This window comes from Homo sapiens, chromosome 4 (assembly GCF_000001405.40).
Source record: "Homo sapiens chromosome 4, GRCh38.p14 Primary Assembly".
NCBI classification, from domain to species: domain Eukaryota; kingdom Metazoa; phylum Chordata; class Mammalia; order Primates; family Hominidae; genus Homo; species Homo sapiens.
This window is the reverse complement of record NC_000004.12, coordinates 149,154,221-149,177,166: the sequence shown is the minus strand read 5'-3', so window position 1 is coordinate 149,177,166 and position 22,946 is coordinate 149,154,221. Positions and strand designations below refer to the sequence as shown.

Genomic DNA, 22,946 nt, shown 5'->3' with positions numbered 1-22,946 from the left:
CAGCTCCATCAGGTCATTTATGTTCTTCTCTAAACTGGTTATTTTAGTTAGCAATTCGTCTAACCTTTTTTCAAGGTTCTTAGCTACCTTGCATTGGGTTAGGACATGCTCCTTTAGCTTGGAGGAGTTCGTTATTACCCACCTTCTGAAGCCTACTTCTGTCAGTTCATTAAACTCATTCTCCATCCAGTTTTGTTCCCTTGCTGGCGAGGAGTTGTGATCCTTTGGAGGAGAAGAGGCATTCTGGTTTTTGGAATTTTCAGCCTTTTTGTGCTAGTTTCTCTCCATCTTTGTGGCTTTATCTACCTTTGTTCTTTGAAGTCAGTGACCTTCAGATAGGGTCTCTGAGTGGATGTCCTTTTTGTTGATGTTGATACTATTCCTTTCTGTTTGTTAGTTTTCCTTCTAACATTCAGGCCTCTCTGCTACAGGTCTGCTGAGGCTTGCTGGAGGTCCACGCCAGACCCTGTTTGCCTGCATGTCACTGGTGGAGGCTGCAGACCAGCAAAGATTGCTGCCTGTTCCTTCCTCTGGTAGCTTCATCCCAGAGGGGCAGTTGCCAGATGCCAGCCAGAGCTCTCCTGTATGAGGTGTCTGTTGGCCCCTACTGGGATGTGTCTCCTAGTCAGGATACACGGGGATCAGGGACCCACTTGAGGAGGCAGTCTGTCCCTTATCAGAGCTCGAATGCTGTGCTGGTAGATCTGCTGTTTTCTTCAGAACTGCCAGGTAGAGACTTTTAAGTCTGCTGAAGCTGAACCCACAACCAGCCCTTCCCCAGGTGCTCTGTCCCAGGGAGGTAGGGGTTGTGTATATAAGTCTCTGACTGGGGCTGCTGCCTTTTATTCAGAGATGCCCTGCCCGGAGAGGAGACAGTCTGGCAGCAGCAGCCTTGCTTAGCTGGGGTGGGCTCCACCCAGTTCGAACTTCCTGGTGGCTTTGTTTACACTGTGATGGTGAAACCACCTACTCAAGCCTCAGCAATGGCGGATGCCCCTCCCCTCACCAAGCTCGAGTGTCCCAGGTTGAGCTCAGACTGCTGCTGTGCTGGCAGTGAGAATTTCAAGCCAGCAGATCTTAGCTTGCTGGGCTCCGTGGGGATGGGATTAGCCTAGCCAGACTACTTGGCTCCCTGGCTTCAGCCCCCTTTGCAGGGGAGTGAACAGTTCTGTCTTGCTGGCATTCTAGGCACCACTGGGGTACGAAAAAAAACTCCTGCACCTATCTCAGTGTCTGCCCAAAGAGCCACCCAGTTTTGTGATGGAAACCCAGGGCCCTGGTGGTATAGGCACCGGAAGGAATCTCCTGGTCTGTGGGTTGCAAAGACCTTGGGGAAAGTGCAGTATCTGGGCCAGAGTGCACGGTACAGTCCCTAATGGCTTCCCTTGGCTAGGAGAGGGGGTTCCACGACCCCTTGCACATCTCCAGTGAGGCAACGCCCCACCCTGCTTCACCTCTCCCTCCTTGGGCTGCACCCAGTGTCCAACCAGTCCCAATGAGATGAACCAGGTACCTCAGGTGGAAATGCAGAAATCACTGCCTTCTGCATCAATCTCATTGGGAGCTGCAGACCGAAGCTGTTCCTATTCAGCCATCTTATTGTAGTTATTTTTTAAAAATTCAATCAGGATGAGGAAACTTTCCACTTTCTCAGCATTAATGATGTTTCCTGTGGCGGATATTAGCTATATGTGACCTAAAATTGACTGAAATTTCTATGTCCTTACAATCAAAATCAGTACATTATTAAACCAACTTAAAGTCATCTGTGTTATCTACATGTTGATGATGATTATGTAATATATTAAATAATACACATGAACAATCTGTACAGAGTTTCTGTATTAATATTGTCAAAAATAAATTTTGTGATATCAGTTTTTTATCTTGATGCTCAGAACATCAATAAACCATTTAACAGTCGACCCTGTAATTCAGGAACACCACAAGTAGCAGTCAACTATATTCAGACCTAAAAAGAGTTTTCAAGTCAAAAATTTTTACTAGGGACTTCTAAGCTTGGTTTAGTCACCAAGAAGAGTATGATCCCTTAAAGATAAGTGAATGCTTCAAGCTCATCAATAATAAAATTTAGCCAATGTTTCTTAGTCAGGCAATTTACAGTTATTAGATTGTGATGGTTAATTTTATGTGTCAACTTAACTGGGTTAAGGGATACCCAGAGAGGTGGTAAAGTGTTATTGCTGGGTGTGTGTATGAGGGTGTTTCTGGAAGAGATTAGCATTTAAATCTGAGTAAAAAAGACCTGCTCTCACAAATGTGAGTGGGCATAATTCAATTCCTCATAGGTACCAATGGAACAAAATGGCTGAGGAAGAGTGAGTTTGCCTCCTTTTTTGGAGCACATGCATTCTCTTATGCACACAGACAGCAGAACCCCAGGTTGTTGGGCCTCTGGACTCCGGGTCTTACATGAAGCCTCACCCCTACCCATCCCATCCAGAGTTTTAGGTCTTTGGGCTCAAACTGAATTAAAACACCAACTTTCCTGGTTCTCCAGTTTGCAGGTGGCATATTGTGGGACTTCTCAGCTTCCATAATCACGTGAGCCAAGTCCCATAATAAATCCTCTCTTGTGTATCTATGTATATCCTATGGTTGGTGTTTCTCTGGAGAACCCTGGCTAATACACAGATGATAGGTAAACCTTTAGAAGTGGCTCACACTGACAAAAACATCCATATAGTCCATGACTTTTGATTCTCAGAAAGCAGTTTAACTTCTATGGGTTATCAGCCAATTCAGGTAAATAACATTAACCTATAAAATATATTTTCATTTTAAAATATGAAATCAATATACATTGAAAATATTTAAAATATATACAAATCTTTTAAATGATAGAGCTATGTATACTAAAACATAGCAAGTAAAATATACAAAAATTATCATTTTTTCTAAAAGGAAAACTAAAGAGGAAAGAGTATATATAAAAATGAGTGTATTAAAAGAGAGAGATAATGTTAATTCAATAAAAGAGGTATGCATTATAAAACTGATAAAATGTTCTTGAACAAGGGTCGTGAAGCATTTTTGTAGAGGGAGTAAAAGCAATGAACATAAAATTTCCCCAGAATTTAAGACATTTCTTAATATAATAGAATACAAAAAAAAACTGATTTACAAGGTCAGCAATTAAAGTGTGAAGGAACAAGATATTTGAATGAGGGGGAAGGTAGTTCGAATAACTAAGATCGAAGGGAATTGAGAATTGTAACTGGTCAGGACCAACTAATGGGCTGCCACAGGGATAAGTATTAAGACAGATTTTTGTTCACTTTATACATCAATGACCCAAAAGAGGGCATCTACATTAAGAGGATAAAATCTGCTGACATAGGGATAGTTGGGGTGTTGAAGGGGCATTCACAAAGAGTGCTTAGACGGACTTGGACAGGCTAAAAGCATGGAGTGATAAGTGGCTCTCTCCATTCAATTCTGAAGAAAAAATTCTAGAAACTTAAAACCATAAGAAAATAAAAAGGAATATATATCCTTAAAATCTCTGGAGGCTTGAGCTCTGAAAGAAAGACACTGAGGTAAATCTTTCGTTATGCTTAGAAGTAAAAATATAGGGAAGAAATAGGAAAGTAGGTGTTCAGTATATGGATATTATATCAATAGCCTACAAAATTGTACTTCTGCCGTAAGATTCACATGTCCTCATTTCTCAACCACCCACATCCCCATTTTTTTCTCCTTGACCCCTAACATGCAATGACTCATCATGTTGAGACTGCAGTTACTTTTCTTTTATCTTTTTAGATATTCTGGAGACTAGTAATAATCAGGACAGATGTGGCCATCTATCTACCCTGACCATGTATGTGTGTGCGTGACACAGTTAACCATAATAGGCACAGCAGAATCCCCACAAGGTAGCCCAAGGGTATTTTGCCCCTACTAGTTTTCATAGTTTCTATTAGCATATTTATTATTTATTAATAAGAAGCAGGAGAGAAGTGTAAGACAGTAGTTGAGTAACAGAAAACTAGACAACCCAGTGACTCTTATACACAGAAGACTGGCAGTCCCTGACTATGCCTATGCCCAAGGGGAAGGAATCAGACCAAATCTCTTAAATTCTTGGTACTTGCAATGTAATTGCAGAGTGACTTGTGTTCCACAAATCTAAGCAACAACAACAGAAGTAGATTACTAAATATTATATATCACTACCTATTGATGAATTCTTTAAGTCAAAAATCAAGCCTCTTTTCTGCTCTACATAGAAATCAAAACCAAGATATAGTTATCAACTGTCCTACTCACTTGCCTAAAACATGTTTAGTAGCTTTCCATTCATTACAGGATGATAGTCATACTGTTAGGTAAATAATGAACATTCAGTAATACTTATGAAGCAAGACACCGTGGTTTGAGTTTATTTAGTCTTCACAATAATTCCTCAGGTTAATATAATATTACGCTAAATTTACAGATAAAGAAATCAAGATCCAGAGATATCAAATAATTTTTTTGAGATCTCAGCACTAGAGAGAGATGGAACCTGGATTCCTACCCAGGTCTATCTCATGTCAAAGTCCTTGTTCTTTCCATCACAATTGTGATGTATTTGTGTTTACACCAACAGGTAACAGTCAACTATATTTGGACCAAAAAATGGTTAATAGGAGGCTGGAAGATAGAAAAACAATGCATAAGAAGATAAGATGGTCACATCCACCTACATGCATACCCTCTCCTTACCTTGCTTTGGCATTCCAGGTCTTCATCAACAGGGCTGGCATCTTGTAAATCCTTCATCTGCTTCATGCACTGTATGCACCAATTGAGCTATACTACTGGGTATTTCTCTTGAATGTTCCTTGCTTGTTACAAGCAGTTTGCTGCAAGCAGTCCCACAATCTCCAAATGTCCAGCTCCCCACAGGGGGAACAATTCTCTCCCTCTCCAAATCATGCTACTTATGCTGCTCTTTTGCACTGCAGCTATTCATACACTTCTTGGTGCCCTTCATGTCTGAAAATTTGTACTTCCTGCCCACATCATTAGCACATTGCCTTGAACATGGTAGCTGCTCAATGTGTGTTTGTTGAATGCATACACTTATGTGCTTATGTCAAGTGGTAACCCATATAGAGCTCACCTATCATGCTGAATTTTTTATACTTGATTAACTCCCAGCATGTAAAGCAGAATTACTATTAATCCCAGTATTGAAGGCAGAATTACTGTTGTGAAGTCTTAGACTTTACTTTTTTTTAGTGTTGTATAAAGTTGCAAAATTTGTCAACCTTCTTCAAACACTTTTTCCTTTCCCTTAGATGCTTTTATAACCTAACTTGATATCATAATAGTCTGGAGGAAACTAACTTTTCGGTTAATGGTGCAGGCTCTGTATATTACCTAGATCAAATCCTGGCCGTGGCACTTGTGTTGTGACCTTAGGCAAATCACTTAAACTTTCTGCGCCTCAATTTCTTCATCTGTCAGATGGGTTAGATGAGTACCTACCTTCCCAGAAAATTGCCTGGAACATTAATAATAACACTTAGCAAATATTAGCTCAGACTGAAATAATTGCAAATCTGATTATCTTATTTCCTCCCACTTTGCTCTTCTTTCACTTCATTTATGATCTTTCCTCCTTCAATAGATGGAAAGCTCTAATTTAAGGTTATAAAGAAAATTAAGACGGACTCGTTTTCCACATTGAGTTAAATTAAGCTCACAAACAATTATTGATAATGTACGATGGGTCATGTACTGGCCTGATGCTGGGAGACAAAGAGCAGAGCAGACACGCATATTTACCTCTGACCTTGATCTTACAGCAGAGAAGCAGAGAAGCACCTTTAAAAATCACACTATCTGGTGCTTTAAACAGAGAATTGTTTAGAAAGTGGTCTCCAGATGCCAAAGTAGAATTTATTACTAGAGCTAAGTTCCTTATTCTTAGGCAACAAAATGATTACTTTGTCAATCACTTTGATACCTTTCACCTAAATACCAGCAAGAAGCAGAGTAAAACCCTGAGTTATCATGGCCTTTCCCTGACAGCACATGCTGGCCTTCAGCCTCTAGTGCAACCCACCCATCTATCATAGGAACCACAGATGGTACTCTGCTAAGGGCAAGCAATCTACTTTGTTAAATGTGTTCTGCGCCTCAATTCTAAAGTCTAGGTTTTGGTTTCCCTAGGCTTAGGAGTAGCCCCATGCTAATTATTTTGGAGAATTTCTGTATAAAGCACATTTAACATATCCAAAGATTATTACTTAATGCATGTTCTGAAAGGATTGTTAGAAATACTGTAGAGGACAATATATGTGCTCATTAATATTACTGGTTTAAATAATAAGCTGTCTAAATAAGTATATTGAACATATATAATATGCGCATATTATATATATATATATAATGTATTATATGTACCATATATTTATGGTAGAAAAAGGCATAAATGAATCTATCAGTATTATGGCAAACTCTAAACTAAATACAAAGAAATGTGTATGTGTGTGTGTGTTTGTGTGTGTGTAATTCCCCTCTCCTCCTCCATATAGACATATAGGTCAGTTTTCATTTGTTTTAAGCGGTAAATTGCTAGTTATTATCTATTATGTTCTTCAAGTGGATACAATGTTATGAAAATATTGCAAAATGCAGGAAGCGAGACAAATTGTACATTAGCAAATCTCTTGGTGACTGTCCAGCTTCTTGGCTGTCCTCATTTCCACTGACATCTTAGGACAACCAAGAGTGACCTTCAGGTTCTGGATTCAAGGTCTCTTCTCAGGAAAAGAAGCAAGAGAAAAACCATTTCTTAAAGTTGCTATAGCTTTTTATGAAAGGTTTCCTTATGTTTAATACCATTTAGTAAAATTTTGTGTTTCTCATATGATTGCATAAAAAAGTGGCAAACACCAAGAGTCAAATTGATAATTGTTTTATTTTCATTTTAAGCAATAAAAAATAATTTTATTGATGTAAAGAAACTAAGGCCACACACATGAGAAAAGCAAATTATTTCAACTGACTTCAAATATAATGTGTAGTGGCTATATTTCATTTCTAAGTGGTGAATAGCAATTGTTATATCGATATTTATCTATATTATTGGATTCGCTGAGGCTCAGACAATAGTCCAGATGCCATCACAAATATGCACTGGTTACCATTTACGTCAATGAGAATTTATTGAGCAACATTTAAGGCCAGGAATACAAGGAGTACAAGGACACGTTAATCACATTTAAGAGTTCCCATATTCTTTCCTCAAAGAACTTAGGTGCTTTGGGGAGAAGAAGGCACAGATCTCAAAGCAGGTAACTAATACAAGCCATAGAAAAATAAGTTTATTAGAGCAATATGAGCTTAGGCTTTCAGATGGAGCGAGAAATGTGAGTGGAAATTAGTACAAAAATATTTTGGAATTAAATAAAAGCTGGAAAGGAAAAGAGGAAGAAAGTATTAAATATAAGAGAAAAGGAGGAAGAGCAGCTGCTTCATTAGAATTCGTCTTTAAAAACAAGAGAAATATCTAGAGGGTGAATTCTTAATTTATGTTCCCAATAGACTATGCCATGATAGACAGAAGAGGCTGTGTATACTTTTAGTTCCAATTTGATCCTAAGCACTCAGCACACCTCCTTGGCATGTAGAAATAGGCGCTCAGTAAACATTTGTTGAGTGACTTCTCCCTGTCTTCTACTCCTCTCACACTCAGTAATGCTTCAAGATCATTTAATCTGCTGAATTAAGCTCCCTCTCTTCCTTATCCTATCTTTTAAATGTTATATTAAGTTAAACCAGGTGGAATTCCACTTTTTTAAGTCCAAATGGTTGGAAAGCAACAATTTTATATGGTTCAACCTAGTAATGCAACTAGTATACAGGAGTTCATCTATTTACTCCAAGAAACTAAGACAAACAATTAATTACGTTGAAACAAATGCATGATACATTTTCCCAGGCACAATCTAACAGGAAGGTTTCCCAGAACCTTAATCAAAATGGTTCATAGGACTAAGCGATGTGGCTATTTACAATGTTGACAATTTTATCAACGATTGCTTATGTACTTCAAACCTGAGCCTCTGAGTACATGTAACTGGGTCCTACTTGTGGTTGACTTCCATCATCTGAATGCTCTGTTCAGATACTCTGCTCTTCACTATTTAGCTTTCCTTACTAGAAACTCTTTTAAGATATTAATGCTTTTTAATGCTTTAATTTTGATGTAGTGGATGTATCCTACAGTGACGCTCTTCCTCCTGCTTCTATAAACCATGCATTCTTTTGTACCAGACCTGATATTCAATCTCAGCTTCACTTCCTATTTCACAATCTCTAGAAGTTGGATTGTGACAAGGAGTAATGAACCTCAATAGGCAAAGCAACTATGCTGCCTGGTACTGGGTTAAGAATTATGACAGAACCCTACGTATTCTCATGACAGGAGCATGTATCCTTAATTAATAGAATGACCATGTAATTTATCATACAAATATGGATACCTTTGAGAGTGAAAAGGTGGAACTATTAAAAATTACACCAGAATAACAGACCTAAACAGAGACTGTTCTGGGCAAACCAAGACATCGGGCTATACTACAAATTGAGGATTTTCTGAAGTACTTTCTTTAGAACACATCCTGAGGTGCATTTCTGTGAATAAAATGGGTAATACGATCAAATAACTAACTCACTAGAGAGTGACTTAGATATTAAGAAGGAAAGGTCAAATTTGTTATTATCTACATAGTTTGACCCTCTTTACTTCACATTTCACATCCTATATTTTTGTTTTCTGTGGGACTTTGTGGCAGATGCTACATGTTATTTTCCATGACTTTTGGCAAGATAGTAGTAATTTTTCTGATTTCCTTAAATTTTCTTAAATTCATTTGGAAGGAAAGAAATTTCCCTAATCTGTTATTCCCATAATGCTTAGTACTGGATTATTATTCTTCAGCTACCATACTTTCTTGTTTGATTAGAAAATGAGTAAATTAAAGCAAAATTATGTGTGAATATTTGACAAATTATCTTTAATTATAAGCAACAAGGTATGAAAGGTAACAAATTCAGGCCAAAAGTCAGAACACTCATTTTTAAATTTAATCTCTGCTATTAACCATCTATGAGATGGTAAGTGAGCCCTCATATTCTCAAAGGAAAAAAAAAAACAAGAGGATAGAACATTCTACCTGCCTTCTATGTGCTAGGATTGTGTGAGGCTAGGCATAAATCTCATTTACCCCCTGTAACTGTCCTGTAAAGGTGACACTACATTGTTTATTTGCAAGTTCATAGAAATTTAGTAACTTCCCCCAAACCCTCACCTAGAAAATGATAGGGCAGGATTTGAATCCAGTTTTGTATGCAACGTTCATGCTGCCAGAAGAACATTTCTTTATTTAGCTTGAAAATAAGAATCTTATTAGTAAATCACAATATTGTTGTGATGATTCAAAAATAATTAAATACTAAAATATGTTTCCAAATTCAAACAATGTATAAATTTGGGTATTACTGGTCCTTTTCCTTGTATTCTCTATTCTTTTCTTGAGTCTTTAAATTGGGATTTAAATAAAACTTTTGAAACAGCTATTATATTTTATAAGAAGAGAATGGACTGCGAATATTTTTCCAAGTAGTGTCTAATTTCCTTTGAGTCCAAGTCAAGTGCGAGACCACCATGCTGGGATGGTATCTGTTCCTAGGGGCTCGTGCCATGGGCATTTGCATCTTTCTATTATCACCACTCTAGGTCACCCTGACATTTCAAAACACCTGCTTTGTCTTGTATTTATATTGGAGTCCTTTATTAGACCAAGGTACAGTTTATTTTTAATTATTATGTATTCTGCCTTCATCTATAAGATGACATTCTAGCTAATCAACTACAGCACTACCATTTAAGGCAAGAGAAGAAGGTGAAAGGAGAACAAGGCAATTACAAGGTTAGTCTCTATTTTCAAAGCATTGCCTGAGGCTCCATTCAGGTAATTCCAATTAACTTTTATGGAAAGTTACTCAGCTAAAACTCCAGCAAATGCTACTGTAACTAGATTCAGTGCTCTAGCGCTACATAACTGCTGAGGAATTTAAGCTATAAATTTTTTCACACATACCAAAAACAGTGCTTCCAAGACTGACCTACGTGATATGTTCCCCATGGTCTAATGCAAATTAAGATGACTGTGATATAAAGATCTTCAAGACCAGGGTCATCATGGAAACATTAGCAGACCCTTCACTACCAAAGCCCTGTGGGGGGCCATTAAGATATTTTATGGAAGTGCTAGTGGCAGCCTTAGAGCAAATGGCAAAGAGCAGGAAACATAAGCAACTGTAAAAAGAAAACAAAACAAAAACCCAATAAGAGACAATGAGGACATCATTAAAAACATAAAGGCAATGAAAATGCCTATGGTGTATTTTCCATTATCTGTGACCTTGGGTTGCAGTTTTGGCTCTGTGTTCATTATCAGTTTCAGAAAAATGTCGCCTCATACTCCTCAGCTCACACATTCTTTGTATGATTCCTTAGAAGAGGAGAGACAAAGTCCAAAGCTGGCTGACAAAACACAATTTACTATTCTCATCTGGTAGGAATTTTTTCTCTGCACTTTTCATTATTGTCTCTTAGGGAATCTATCCAGGATGACAAGAAGATAAAAATTAGTTTGAGGCCCATTACCCTGTCTTGAATGTTCATAGCCTCCCAGTGTGTTATTCATATTAACAAATTCAGCTTTCTGCCTCCAAAAGGCAGTCAGTTAGCAAGATTCCACTGAGCAAAAGAGATCTCTTAGCCACAGTTAACCTGTCAGGTTATCATAAATTAGAATCACAGATAACAGTAATCTAGATGTAGAAATGTTACTCAACCTAGATCATGATCCAAATTTGTAGGTGATTTCCAACAACTCCTCTAAAAAATAAATAGGTTTCTTAATTCCTAATATGTTCAGCTTTTTCTTTTGTGTTTTTTAAGTGCAACACCAAAAATATATATGTGCTTTAATTTTAAGTGAAATAGGTATTGTATATTCTAAATAAAGTAATTGGAGTTAATTTCTCAATTCTTCCCATCACAAGGCATTTTATTCCAGGTATCCCAAGGTTAAAGTCGATGCCACCACAGACTACTAGGAAAATATATGTCCCCATTTCTTCCATTTGCTTTGCATGTATAAATACAGTTTTTACATAATCTTTTTGTAGAATACTAAATTAAATGTGACTGTGAAGCCTGTATTTTTCCAATATTTAGTAGTTGTTTGATGAAGTTTGGCAACCTAATTCTCATAAAAATGATTAAGTAGAATTATACTAGCAAGAATCAGCTATCACATAATATTTGTGACAGTGGATAAGAAATAAGATAGTGAATGGGAATTTTTTTTTCTCTGTCTTGTTAATCAGATAACCTTTCTATATGATTCTTACATAATTGAAACTTAGATCCTAAAGAATTAAGCATGAAGTATATTGGGGGTTCTTCTTTGTGATCAGTCTGAAATGGTTTGATTTGTTATCCTTAGAAATACTCTCTTTCTAGGTAAAGTAAAGTATACTAATTTTTTTCTCCATTTCCAATGCTACTCTTCTTACTTAATTTTCTACTGGTACAACTCTAAAGTAAAAAAAATCATTAGATTTGAACTAGAAAATGAAAATTACTTACAGAGATTATTATATTTCTTTTCATTTGAAAAATCTTTCAAAACTGACCTGTAGCATTCTTGAGGCTCATATTCAGTTAATGGTTGAGTCTCTCTCTTTGCACCTAAAAAGATGCATTCGATAAGAATCTTTCTGGAGGGAGAGGGGGCGTTAATTAAAGTTCCTCTCTCCAAAGCAGTCTCATCTTCATTTTAGAATACACATACTAGAGAGAATAGTTAATTTTTTAACTTAGTATGAATCTATTTTGAAAACTACCCCCCTACTTCCATGCTTACACTTGATGTCGAGGTCAGTTGATTCGTGGAAGTTAGAAAGCAGATTGAATAGTCAGAGAATATGGCAGAAATGTGGATGTAGAGAGTCCTTCAACCTTGACCTCAACCACTGGATGAGTAAGAAGCTAGAAGAAATTCATGGAGCCAAATCAAGTACAACATCAGCCAAGAAGACAGCCAGCAGGGACCAGAACCCATAGCCACAGTAGAACAAAGCTAAGGCTGGAATACCAAAAATTGTGAAAATAGATGTAATTTTAAAAAGTTCAAGGTCAAGGCAGATGGTTGAAATCTAGTGTCTCTATAGAAACAATAAGCAAAACCATACCAATAGTGACAGACCAATGTTCAAAGAGGTATCTTGTTTTAATTTCTTGACTTGTAATTGGTTGTGAAAGGCAAACATCAAGCTCACAGTGCCTTATCTGGATTCTGAAGAATGTGTGTGTGTGCATGTGTGTGTGTTCCTGTGTGTAGAAAATAAGAACCCCCTGGCTGGGGTGTAGAAGGGTGGGGAGGGATAGTTACAGAGGAATTATAGCACTTCTCTTTGGGATCAGAATGGGACTGTGCTCACCTCACAGTGTTACCCTTTTCCCCCTGGTCCTCCCAGAATGGCCCAGCTGCTTAGCCACACTACAAAGAAATTCCACGCGCATGTCCTGAAAGACCTCTTGTGGTGAGGCACTGTCTGTCTGCTTTCAGGCTGGGTGCTTTGGCAAAATCCATTCATTCATTAAAGAAAGTAATGCTTTCAACCTCTTTCCCCCTTTCTTTCCAGGAGAGGGAGAGATGCCTCAAATTCTTCTATGGCAACTCACTTTATGTATGCTTTGGAACAGGATATGATAGGAAAGAGGGGGCAGATTAAGTTTATATTTGAAAAATTCCTTCTGCGTGAAATATGTGCCTGCTCTCTCTACTACCAAGTTAATTTTTTCCTCTTCTTTTTCCTTTTTGATTGTTGACTTTTAATCAATTAATAGCAAAACCAAGGAGTTAGGTGGACTGTGACATATATTATCACCCTTATTTTCCCCAAAATGTAGGACTTCTGATAAACTGTTGGAAGATAGAGTTGCTTTTACAAAACATCATAGGTTCCTCACTTCCAGGATAGTGTAGGAGAAAATGTGAATTATATATTGCTTTTCTTTAAGGTTGCAGGCAAGTCATGGATTATTTACACATGGTATATGACTGTCTAGAAAAAGAAACAAAATCAAGAACATTTAAGAACTAATAAAAACATTTAGAAATACTGCCAGATATAAAATTAACCTACAAAATTATACAGCACTGGCAATAAGCAACTAGAAAAATAATTAATAAAAATCATGTACAAACACAGCAAAAATTATAAGGTATATAAGTATTAACTTTATTTAGAAAGCTTAAGATCTTCTTGGAGGAAACTACATTAATAAAAGACAAATAGAAAGACATCTCATGGTTGTAGACAGACGTTGTTTACATTATACAGATGATGCTACCTATGTTCTTCTATAAATTTAATGCAAGGTTAGTTAATATCTATTTAGACATTTGAGGAACTCAGTAAAGTTTCTTAAGTTACTTGGAAAATAGAGATCCACAAATAACTACAATTTGAAAAATGAAAAATTATATATAGAGAAATTGCCTTATCAGGTTTTTAAGATCTATATTCTGAACAGCAAGCAGGTAATCCATGGATCCTGAGCTAGGTGTGCATTTACATGCAGAAAAGACCCAGGGAAGAATCTCACTAACTTTCTTTCAGTTCTCCAAAGAGCATGACCCAAGGAAAGGAGAGAGAATGAAATAGAGGCTGAAAGGCTGAAACTGTGTCACCACTTGTGAGGTAAAGGAATTCCACACTACTGAAAAATGTGAGCTGATGAAGATCAGACTCGTACCAATGAGTTTAGTAACTCCTCTGACCTTGAGGAGTACAGGTAGTGAGGAGGGCAAAGGCTCTCTTACAAGGCCAAGTGTGAAAGTGATGGAAAGTGACAGTGAGAACATGGGGACTGGGGAACATGGGCTTCCCTCTTCATAACATTCATAACATTCTATCATAAGGATGTATCATAAGTCATTGAACCATTTTCAGATTCTTGGAAAATCAATTTGTGTCTAATTTTTTAGCATAAATAATACTGTAATATATTGGTAAATTTAAATCATTGGATACCTGTCTCTGTTTAAATATTGTTTGCAAAAATATAAAAAATAAACAGCTAAACACCTTTTCACAAAGTGTTTCAAATTTAACATGAGCATTTACTTAGCACAGTGACCAAGTTCACATTTGCCCTGAAGATGATTATTACTTTTTTAATTTTAAAAAATTTTTGTATGTTTAGGAGGTACAAGTGCAGATATCTGACATGCATATATAGCATAGTGGAAACTCTGGGCTTTTAGTGTACCCAGATAGTGAACATTGTACCCAATAGGTGATTTTGCAGCTATCACCACCCACCCCCCACACACACCTCCCTGTCCCCTGCCGCCCTACTATCTTTTGGAGTCTCCAGGGTCTACTCTTCCACTCTCTATGCTCATATGTTCCCATTGTTTAGCTCCCAATTATAAATGAGAACATGTGGTATTTGACTTTGTTTCTAAGTCCTTTCACTTTGGATAATGGCCTGAGGAAGGTTATTAGAGTTTACTTTGTCCAGTACCTTTATTTCCATTTGCTTTCTATGAATATTGACTCTAAAGTCAATAGCATGTAGGTGACAGTCAGCAGGCACCCTTTTGATTCATACATTAGCACTTGCACAGACTACTGAGGCCTGCTTGGAATATCCAAATCTTTGCTATGAGAGGACAAGACTCACAAAAGGAACCTCCTCAAGGCTGGCTTCCAGATCAAGGATTTTGCTAATGCCCATAGTCGTTCTAGAAACTGGCCTAAAGATTACAAAACTGCTTTTTTTTTTTCTTAAAATAAAGACTATTCTGTCCCCACCTCAGTATGAAATTTGAACTTATTAGGGCAAATTGAAACAAAGATAATTCCCATACTTAGTCACACTCCTTTCCTCCCTTTCCCCAATGATTTCATCCAAAGCCTACCATTCTCAGCCCAGTTGTCTGTGGAAAAATATTTTAAAATATTAGAGAGACTGCCTCTTGTTGGACTTCTCAAAAAGTATTTGCAGAGCTAAAGTGGTGATTGCTTAAGTTGTTAATACCTATCTTTTATTTCATCCATTCATTTCTTTATTCACTCATTCATTAAACAAATAGTTATTAAGGGCCTTTACATTGTCATTTATAATGTTTGATCCAATGGTGAATAAAACAGACATATTCTGTATCCTATGGAACAGATGTAAAATGAAGAAATAAAGTAATTACAAATTGTAATGAGTGAGAAATATAAATTAAACCCAAAAAAGGAGGTGAGATAGAAAATCATGGAAAGGAATGACTTGGGATGGAGCTCTTTCAATGGTATATCCATATAAGAAAGATCATGTGATATTTTTTCTGATGTAAATAAACACAACCACTTAAAATGCAACAACAAAAATCAAAATATGAATATTGCATGAGAATTATTCACTGTAGTAGAAAAAAAATTGCTACAGTTCTATAAAGTCATCTTGATGTATCAAGTACAATTTCCAAGTTTCTAAGCAAAGACTTGCCTTGACAGGATTATTAGTAGCTGATAACTGTGGATTTGGGCTGTCTCATTTTAGTCATGTCACTTGTGGGACATATTCACCAGGAAGCTATGCCAACTGGCACCATATCAAGAAGATTGAACTGCTCTGGGAAGGAATTCTAAGTATGGTACACCCAAGGACTAGACCCAAGAGGTTTAGCAGAGAAGCTCTGCTGCAGAAGAGCCAAGTCATTAGTATTTATTTCTTAACCATCAACCCTGAGGATTGTGTGTGCATATGTGAGCCATTGAAACTGTGCTCTGAAAGTGTAAACTGAAGACAGTACATACCTGACACAATTTAGAAAAGACAGTGCTTCCTGTATAGATCACAACTATTTTAGCAAAACAGTTATTAAAAATAACTACATTACCTCATGCCTGTAATCCCAGCACTTTGGGAGGCTGAGGCAGGTGGATCACGAGGTCAGGAGATCGAAACCATCCTGGCTAACACAGTGAAACCCCATCCCTACTAAACAAAATACAAAAAAATTAGCCGGGCATGGTGGTGGGCACCTGTAGTCCCAGCTACTCAGGAGGCTGAGGCAGGAGAATGGTATGAACCCAGGAGATGGAGCTTGCAGTGAGCCGAGATAGCGCCACTGCACTCCAGCCTGGGCGACAGAGTGAGACTCCGTCTCAAAACAAAAAAACAAACAAAAACCATACTACATTTTTCAAAATTAACTTATTTATCTAAATACTAAATATGAAGCACAAAAGATGCCTTAGTTCATGTTAAGGACCATATTCTTGTAAAGCTATATAATGTCATTTTTGGAATACAAACTGCATTTGCTCTGAGCTTTCCATGCACGTGCAAAATAAAACACCCCCAGCAAATGCCTGTAGCCACTCCAATATATACCACCTACTGTGGCTTCCCCATATATCAAATACAGCTGAGTTTATTTCAAGATTGTTAAGAATGCATCTCACCCACAATTGTTAAAATGTAAGTTCAGTCCAATAGATGACCTAAATGACCCTTTATTGCTACACAGCTCTTATTACATCCTGTAGAAATCAGCAATGTAAATATTCTGCCCCACGTCAACTAACACAGAAACTGGTGGAGCTAGGTTGCTGGAAATTTTGGCATGGTGTGTAAATTCACAAGAATCCATCAAGCTCTTCTATTATTTATTCTGTAGAATTTGTAGGCAGTCTGTGGAGTAACAGGTGTAGCCCCTATGGGTCGACCACCACCTGAATTATGCATGGGGAAAGGAAAGCAGCACCATATATACTACAGTTTGGTATTGTTCATTTGGGGGAATAATTTTGCCTACAATGGCTGTCTGAAAAATCTTCCTTAGCAATAGTCCATATGTTGTATGAGCAGGTATGTTGGCTAGGGCTGCTTCCTTTGTGCCTGATGAGCAAGAGTTAAACCTGGCGGTCCCACCTACTATTTACTGATTTTTGATTTTGGTCAAGACATTTTTTTTAACTTAGTTAACTTTCAGTTTCATTACCTGAAGAATAAGGAAAACAATATATATGTAAATTATTTATCATTAGTAGAACACTAATAACTGGGTCTTATTATTATTTAAAATGTATTAAGGTCTTAATTATTAGATAGAAGGGACAGGCATAGAACAGCAGTTACTTGTGTTTGAAAATCACTAAAGTCAAATCTTTGTGCCCTCTACATGAAAGGCTGTATATCATGATAAGTTATTGTCATTATGTACTATTTTAGTACATATTTCTGATGTCATTTCTGATTATGAATGGTGATCATGGAGAGTGAGGCTGTGTCATGAAGGGAGAAGAGGAGCAGACTTCCACCCCCTGAAGGGCCTGTCCTAATTCAGACTTGTGATTGGAGACCCAGCAAGTCACAGAACCTCTGTCATTAAATATTATCATTTGGACAGTAAAATGATGATCCAAAGTAGCTTATGAAGGTTACGCAGCTGTTATACTTCACTATATGTATAAGAAACCTCACATGTAAGGAGATTATATGAGGTATAAGAAAGCCTAAGTAACTCGACTGAAGTTTACACTTGTTTATGGAGGAAAGCACTTTGTTATGTCACTATTCATTAGTTACAAGCAATGGAAATGCACAACAATCATAACAATAACAAGTCTAATATTATCTAACATTTACTGAGAATTTGCGCTGTGTCAGGTACACTGCTAAGTGCTTTATGTTTCATTTCCTCATGCAATTCTTATAGTATCCCTAAGAGGCAGGCATGAATATCATTTTGATTTTTCAGAGAGAGAAATTGAGGCTTAATTAGTTTAAGTAAATGGTTCAAGTCTACACCAGGAATAAGAGCTACAGCCAGTTCTGTTTGACTCTAAAATTCAGAATTATAGTTGCTTTTTAAAGTTACCTAGGACAAATGTAACAGGATTATTTACCTCTCTGTAAACCAGATCAACGTTTTTGCTGTAGTGCTCAACACAGTTGAGACACTGACATATGAGAGAAACGAATGCCTACTTTCTTCCAAAAACTAATGGAATGAAATTTTCATAAATCTTGTCAGCTTTGTTTCAAAATTTTCTTACTATGACTCATAAGCATAAAGACCAAAGCTGCCATGAAAGATGGAGAATTAAAGTTGGAAAAACTGCATTTTTGAGTCTCAACAATACTCTCTACTCACTTTATTTTTGTGGCCCTGATTTCTCTGAGACATAAATATTACATTTATGTCTGCGTGGAAAGTACTGCATGAGATGAGGCATTTTTTATTATAAGTTTACCTTTTCCCCAAATGATAAATTATCCCATTCTTAGAAGTCTATTGTGGGCCCAGATGATAACTCATAATCTCACTGTTATTTCCACTTCAGAGCCTATTCTGATCATTGAAAGTTAAAGGGCAAGAGGTTCTGAAGCACCATTTATACCTTCACTTCACAGTAGATGAGTCTTAAAGGCTGGGAGTAGGAAGTCCCAGAGCTAAGGGTGGTTGGGTTGTTAGTTTCTTGCGTGTTTCTTTTCTGGAGATAAGAAGCCAATTATTTTCCCTCCAAAACAAAACAAAACAAAAAACAGTCTTGAGTGAGACACAATAAAGAGCCCCTCCCATTTTCCAGAAAGTTGATAAAAATATCAGAAAAAAATCTGAGCCAAGGAGCCTGAATACAAACGCTGGGCCTGCCAAATGAAAAAGGAGAAGAAGCAGAAGCAGTGACAAGCCAGGAAGAAGTGGCCCAAGTAACAGAGAAAAGGTTGAGAAGGTGAAGGTATGAGGGCTCTAAAAAGGGAAGTGATTCTCTGCATCCTTGAAAGCTCCACCATTCCAAGGTGTGTGAGCACTCCTGCAAGCCAGAAACAGAGAGAACATGAACTCAGCAGTAGCCACAAAACCCCACCTGTTTTAAGCAAGGGAAACATCAAATGATAAGAGAAAAAATAATTAATAACTAAACAAACAAATAAGTAACTATAGACAGAAAGCGTTCTACATAATGAGTGAGAATCTGCCAGGGCAATCTGTAAAATTCCTACCAATAAAATTGTAATATGCATATTAGAGAAGATTTTTCATTTAAATTTTTGTGACACAGCTTGCAAAAGACTTTAACAGAAGACATTCCAATTAGCAGAGAGAGACACACCTCCCAAAGCTCATATTTTTGCTCAAATTTGCACAAAAACAGAATAGTAGAAATATAACTGGAAAAGTCATTGTAATTGAAACTGACTATTAAGCAATTTCAGTCAATGAACTGTGCAATTAGTACTTTTGTTACCAGAAAGCTAGTAGTGGACTGAGGAAATCAGAGAAGACAAAAAGAGTATTTAGAAAAAAAATTTCAGTGTTGAATTAAAGCTGATTGACATTGCAGTTATACTGTATACCGTAGTAGTTATGGCTAGATTGTCTTAGTCAGCTTGGGCTGCCATAACAAAATACCACAGACTGGTGAGTTAAACAACAGATATTTGTTTTCTCACAGTTCTGGGGGCTGGATGTGCATGATCAGGGTGCCAGCAGGATCAGGTTCTGGAGAGGGCTCTCTTTCTGACTTATAGATGGCTGCTTTCTCGTTTTTCCTCTTGTGGCCTTTCCTCAGTGACTGCCAAGGAGAGTGAGCTCTGGTCTCTTTCCCTAATCCTGTCATAAGGGTTCCACTTTCATAATCTAATCTAATTCAAATTACCTTCCAAAGGCCTCATCTCCAAATATCATCACGTCGGGAGTTAGGGGTTGATATGGTTTGGCTCTGTGTCCCCACCCAAATCTAATCTTGAATTGTAATAATCCCCATGTGTTGTGGGAGGCACCCAGTGGGAGGTAATTGGATCATGAGGACAGTTCCTCCATTCTGTTTTCATGATAGTAAGAGAGTTCTCACAAGATCTGATGGTTTTATAAGCCTCTGGCATTTCCCCTGCTGACACTCATTCTCTCCCCTGCTGCCATGTGAAGAGGTGCCTTCTGCTATGATTGTAAGTTTCCTGAAGCCTCTCCAGCCATACAGAACTGTGAGTCAATTAACCCTCTTTTCTTTATAAATTACCCAGTCCCTGATACTTCTTCAAAGCAGCATGAGAACAGACTAATACAGGGGTTTAACATATGAATTTGAAGATACACAAACATTCAGTCCATGACATATATGAATATTTATAATTACTCAATAAAAGCTAAAATCTCTTCAACGGCCTCTACAATAGTCTACATGTGTACGTGATCTGCTTCCTGCCTTCGGTACTTTTTATCCTTCAAAGACACACTGATTTCTTTGTGTGTCTTATCCTTCATCAACAACACTGATGTCTTTGCTGTCCCTCCAACACGTTAACATTACTCTTGGTATTTACACTTGCAGTTCTGCTTACCTGAAATGCCCTTCTCCTAGGTAGCTACTTCATTTGCTCTTCCTTCCAGAAGATGTAGGTTCAAAGGTTATCATACCAGAGATGGTTTTCCCTGAACATCTGATATGAAATAGCAGCCTTGCCTACCCACCCTCACCCTACCTTGATATGCTATCCTGTTTACCAGTTTCATTTTTTTGTATACTTCTCAACATTCTGAGTTGTATATATCCGTTTATCATCTGAGTGTCCTATCAGGGGCCACTGTGTTTTGTTCCCTGCTATATCTCCTAGGTCTAGTTCTATATTGGAGCACAGTTGCATTTAATAATTCTTTGCTGACCTACTGGTAAGTGAATAATGTATGTGCTATGCATATTTTACATACACAAACTTAATGCATCCTCATACTAATTATTGTTACATGAAAGATTCTGGATTATACTTCTTGTAAATGTACCACTCTGCTTTGGGAAAGAAATTTCAGGCAGTGTCATTTCGCCCACATATCAGTTCTTAACAACTTTGGTATGCCACTCACTTAGTCAAAACATAGCCCAGGCAAATGAGAATTTTGTAAAAAGTGTTGCTCACATGCCATACCACTTTTGAACAACAGGCTCTCGATCACTGTTGTTATTTGAAGTTGACCATTCCATACAGTGAACTAAAACTAAACTGTTCTTTAATTCGAAATTTAATAAAGACTACTGAGAGGATTAAAGAGACGACCTGAACTACACAATGAAGTGAAAATGCTCTACACATAGTTTATTAAGGAGGTAACATATCATGGAGAACTCACATAATACAAAATGTAGTACTAATAAAAATGTTCAATTTCTTGGCCAAAGGAACAGCAGAACTCTCTTAAGTAACTCTGGCTAAGTAAATAATCCCTTTTTGGTTCTATCCTGGTCATCAATTGCTATGTCACACCAACTCCCACCCTGCACCCAAAAAAATAAAATCTTAAATGCTAGTGGCTTAAGATAACAGCCACCACTTACTTGGTGCAGAGTAGCAATCTGGGCAGGGCTCAAAGGGGAAGGCTCTTCTCTTTTACATGTGGCATCAGATCATTTGGACACTGGGTGATTCCCTCCCATCATGGCACAGTCACATGGCTGGTGATTTGATGATGGTTGTCAGCTGGAGCTCAGTGAAAGCTCTAGGGCCAGGGGCCTCAGTTTCTCTCAGCTTTAGTCTCCTCTTGTGGGCATCTCTATAGGCTTCTTCTTGGCCTTCTCACATCAAGGTATCAGGGCTTACTGAGAAAAAGTCCTAAGAGAGCAAGGTTGAACAGAATTTTTTATAACCTAGCCTTGGAAGTTACAAAGCATTACTTCTACTGTATTCTATTGAGCAAAGCAGTCATAAAGGTCTGCCTGGGTCCTAGGGGAGGTGGGTGCTAGGGACAGGGATCCCACTACTTGATGGAAGGATGGTCAATGCCATTGTAAATGGAGCATGGGGGATGAAGTATACTGTGGTGTCCATCCTTGGAAAATATAATGTACCATAGGTCCTGGCCTGATTTCTCTTCTTGCATTATCCCAATTCTCCTAACTCTATTTGGTGTTTCCTACACCATGATTTTCTCACACTTATCTGCTGTGGGTTGCTGCTTACTTGTATCTGAGTCTTTGTTATTATTTATAAATGATCCTGATTCTCTGCTTATGTACCAAGCCTTTATTCAACAGTGTTCCTTAGGAGCTTTATTTTATCCAAAAAAATTTTTTAAAGATTTCTACCATTAATTGCTTAGTATTCTGAGAATTCCTTATTTATTTTTGTTGATCCCAAAACTCTACTTAATCTCTCTCTTCCTTAGGCATTTGGTACTCTCTGGCTATTTTTTTCTGAATTCTGTATCTTTTCTCACTTATGATAACAACAAAGAAAGTCATATCCTTCTCCTATTTTGATGAAAAGAAAGTAAGAAAATTGAGATACTTGCTGATTAGGGCTTGAGAAGAAAATGAGTATTTCCCTTCATGTCATATGGGAGCATGACATTTTCTCTGACATTCTGTCAGCTGGCCTTTACCCACATACTTACAGGTACCCCCACAGGGGAGTTTTCCTTTTACAGAAGATTAGGCATCATTACCTTTTCCCTAAATTGAACCTTAAAAGATTGGACTGGCAGCCACCTGGCAGCTCCATGGCTCATCTTCTTCTGCTACCCTCCATGAATTTTCTGTGTAGCCGTGGAAACCACTGGGGTCCTCTTTTACACTGTGGTGTATCACGGAAAATTGGGAGGAGTATGGTTACTACCATCTTTCCCCCGAGTACACCTCACCCTGTCCCTTTAAGGGCTGCTGACATGGGCCTTTCTACTACAGAAAGCTCAAGGCCAGACTCCATGTCTACGTATACTTCCCAAACTTCAGAGACACAGTTCTTCTTCCTCCTGGTGGAAGAAGGATACTGAAAAGGATAAAGTTCTACACTTCGGACTCTCAATGCTCTTCCAGAACCCACTCTTTATGACTGTACTCAGCAT

The 22,946-nt window shown here is 37.7% G+C and overlaps 1 long non-coding RNA gene across 1 annotated transcript in view; it reads right to left on the bottom strand.

Moving 5' to 3' along the window:
* LINC02355 (long intergenic non-protein coding RNA 2355) overlaps positions 1–22,872 on the bottom strand; it is a 123,829-nt gene extending 100,957 nt beyond the window's left edge. Inside the window, exons 1-2 of the long non-coding RNA NR_125887.1 lie at positions 22,548–22,872; positions 21,442–21,715 (exon numbers count right to left, since the gene is read on the bottom strand). This is a non-coding gene — a long non-coding RNA (long intergenic non-protein coding RNA 2355). The remainder of the gene's footprint in view (positions 1–21,441; positions 21,716–22,547) is intronic.
* Positions 22,873–22,946: the final 74 nt, after the last annotated feature.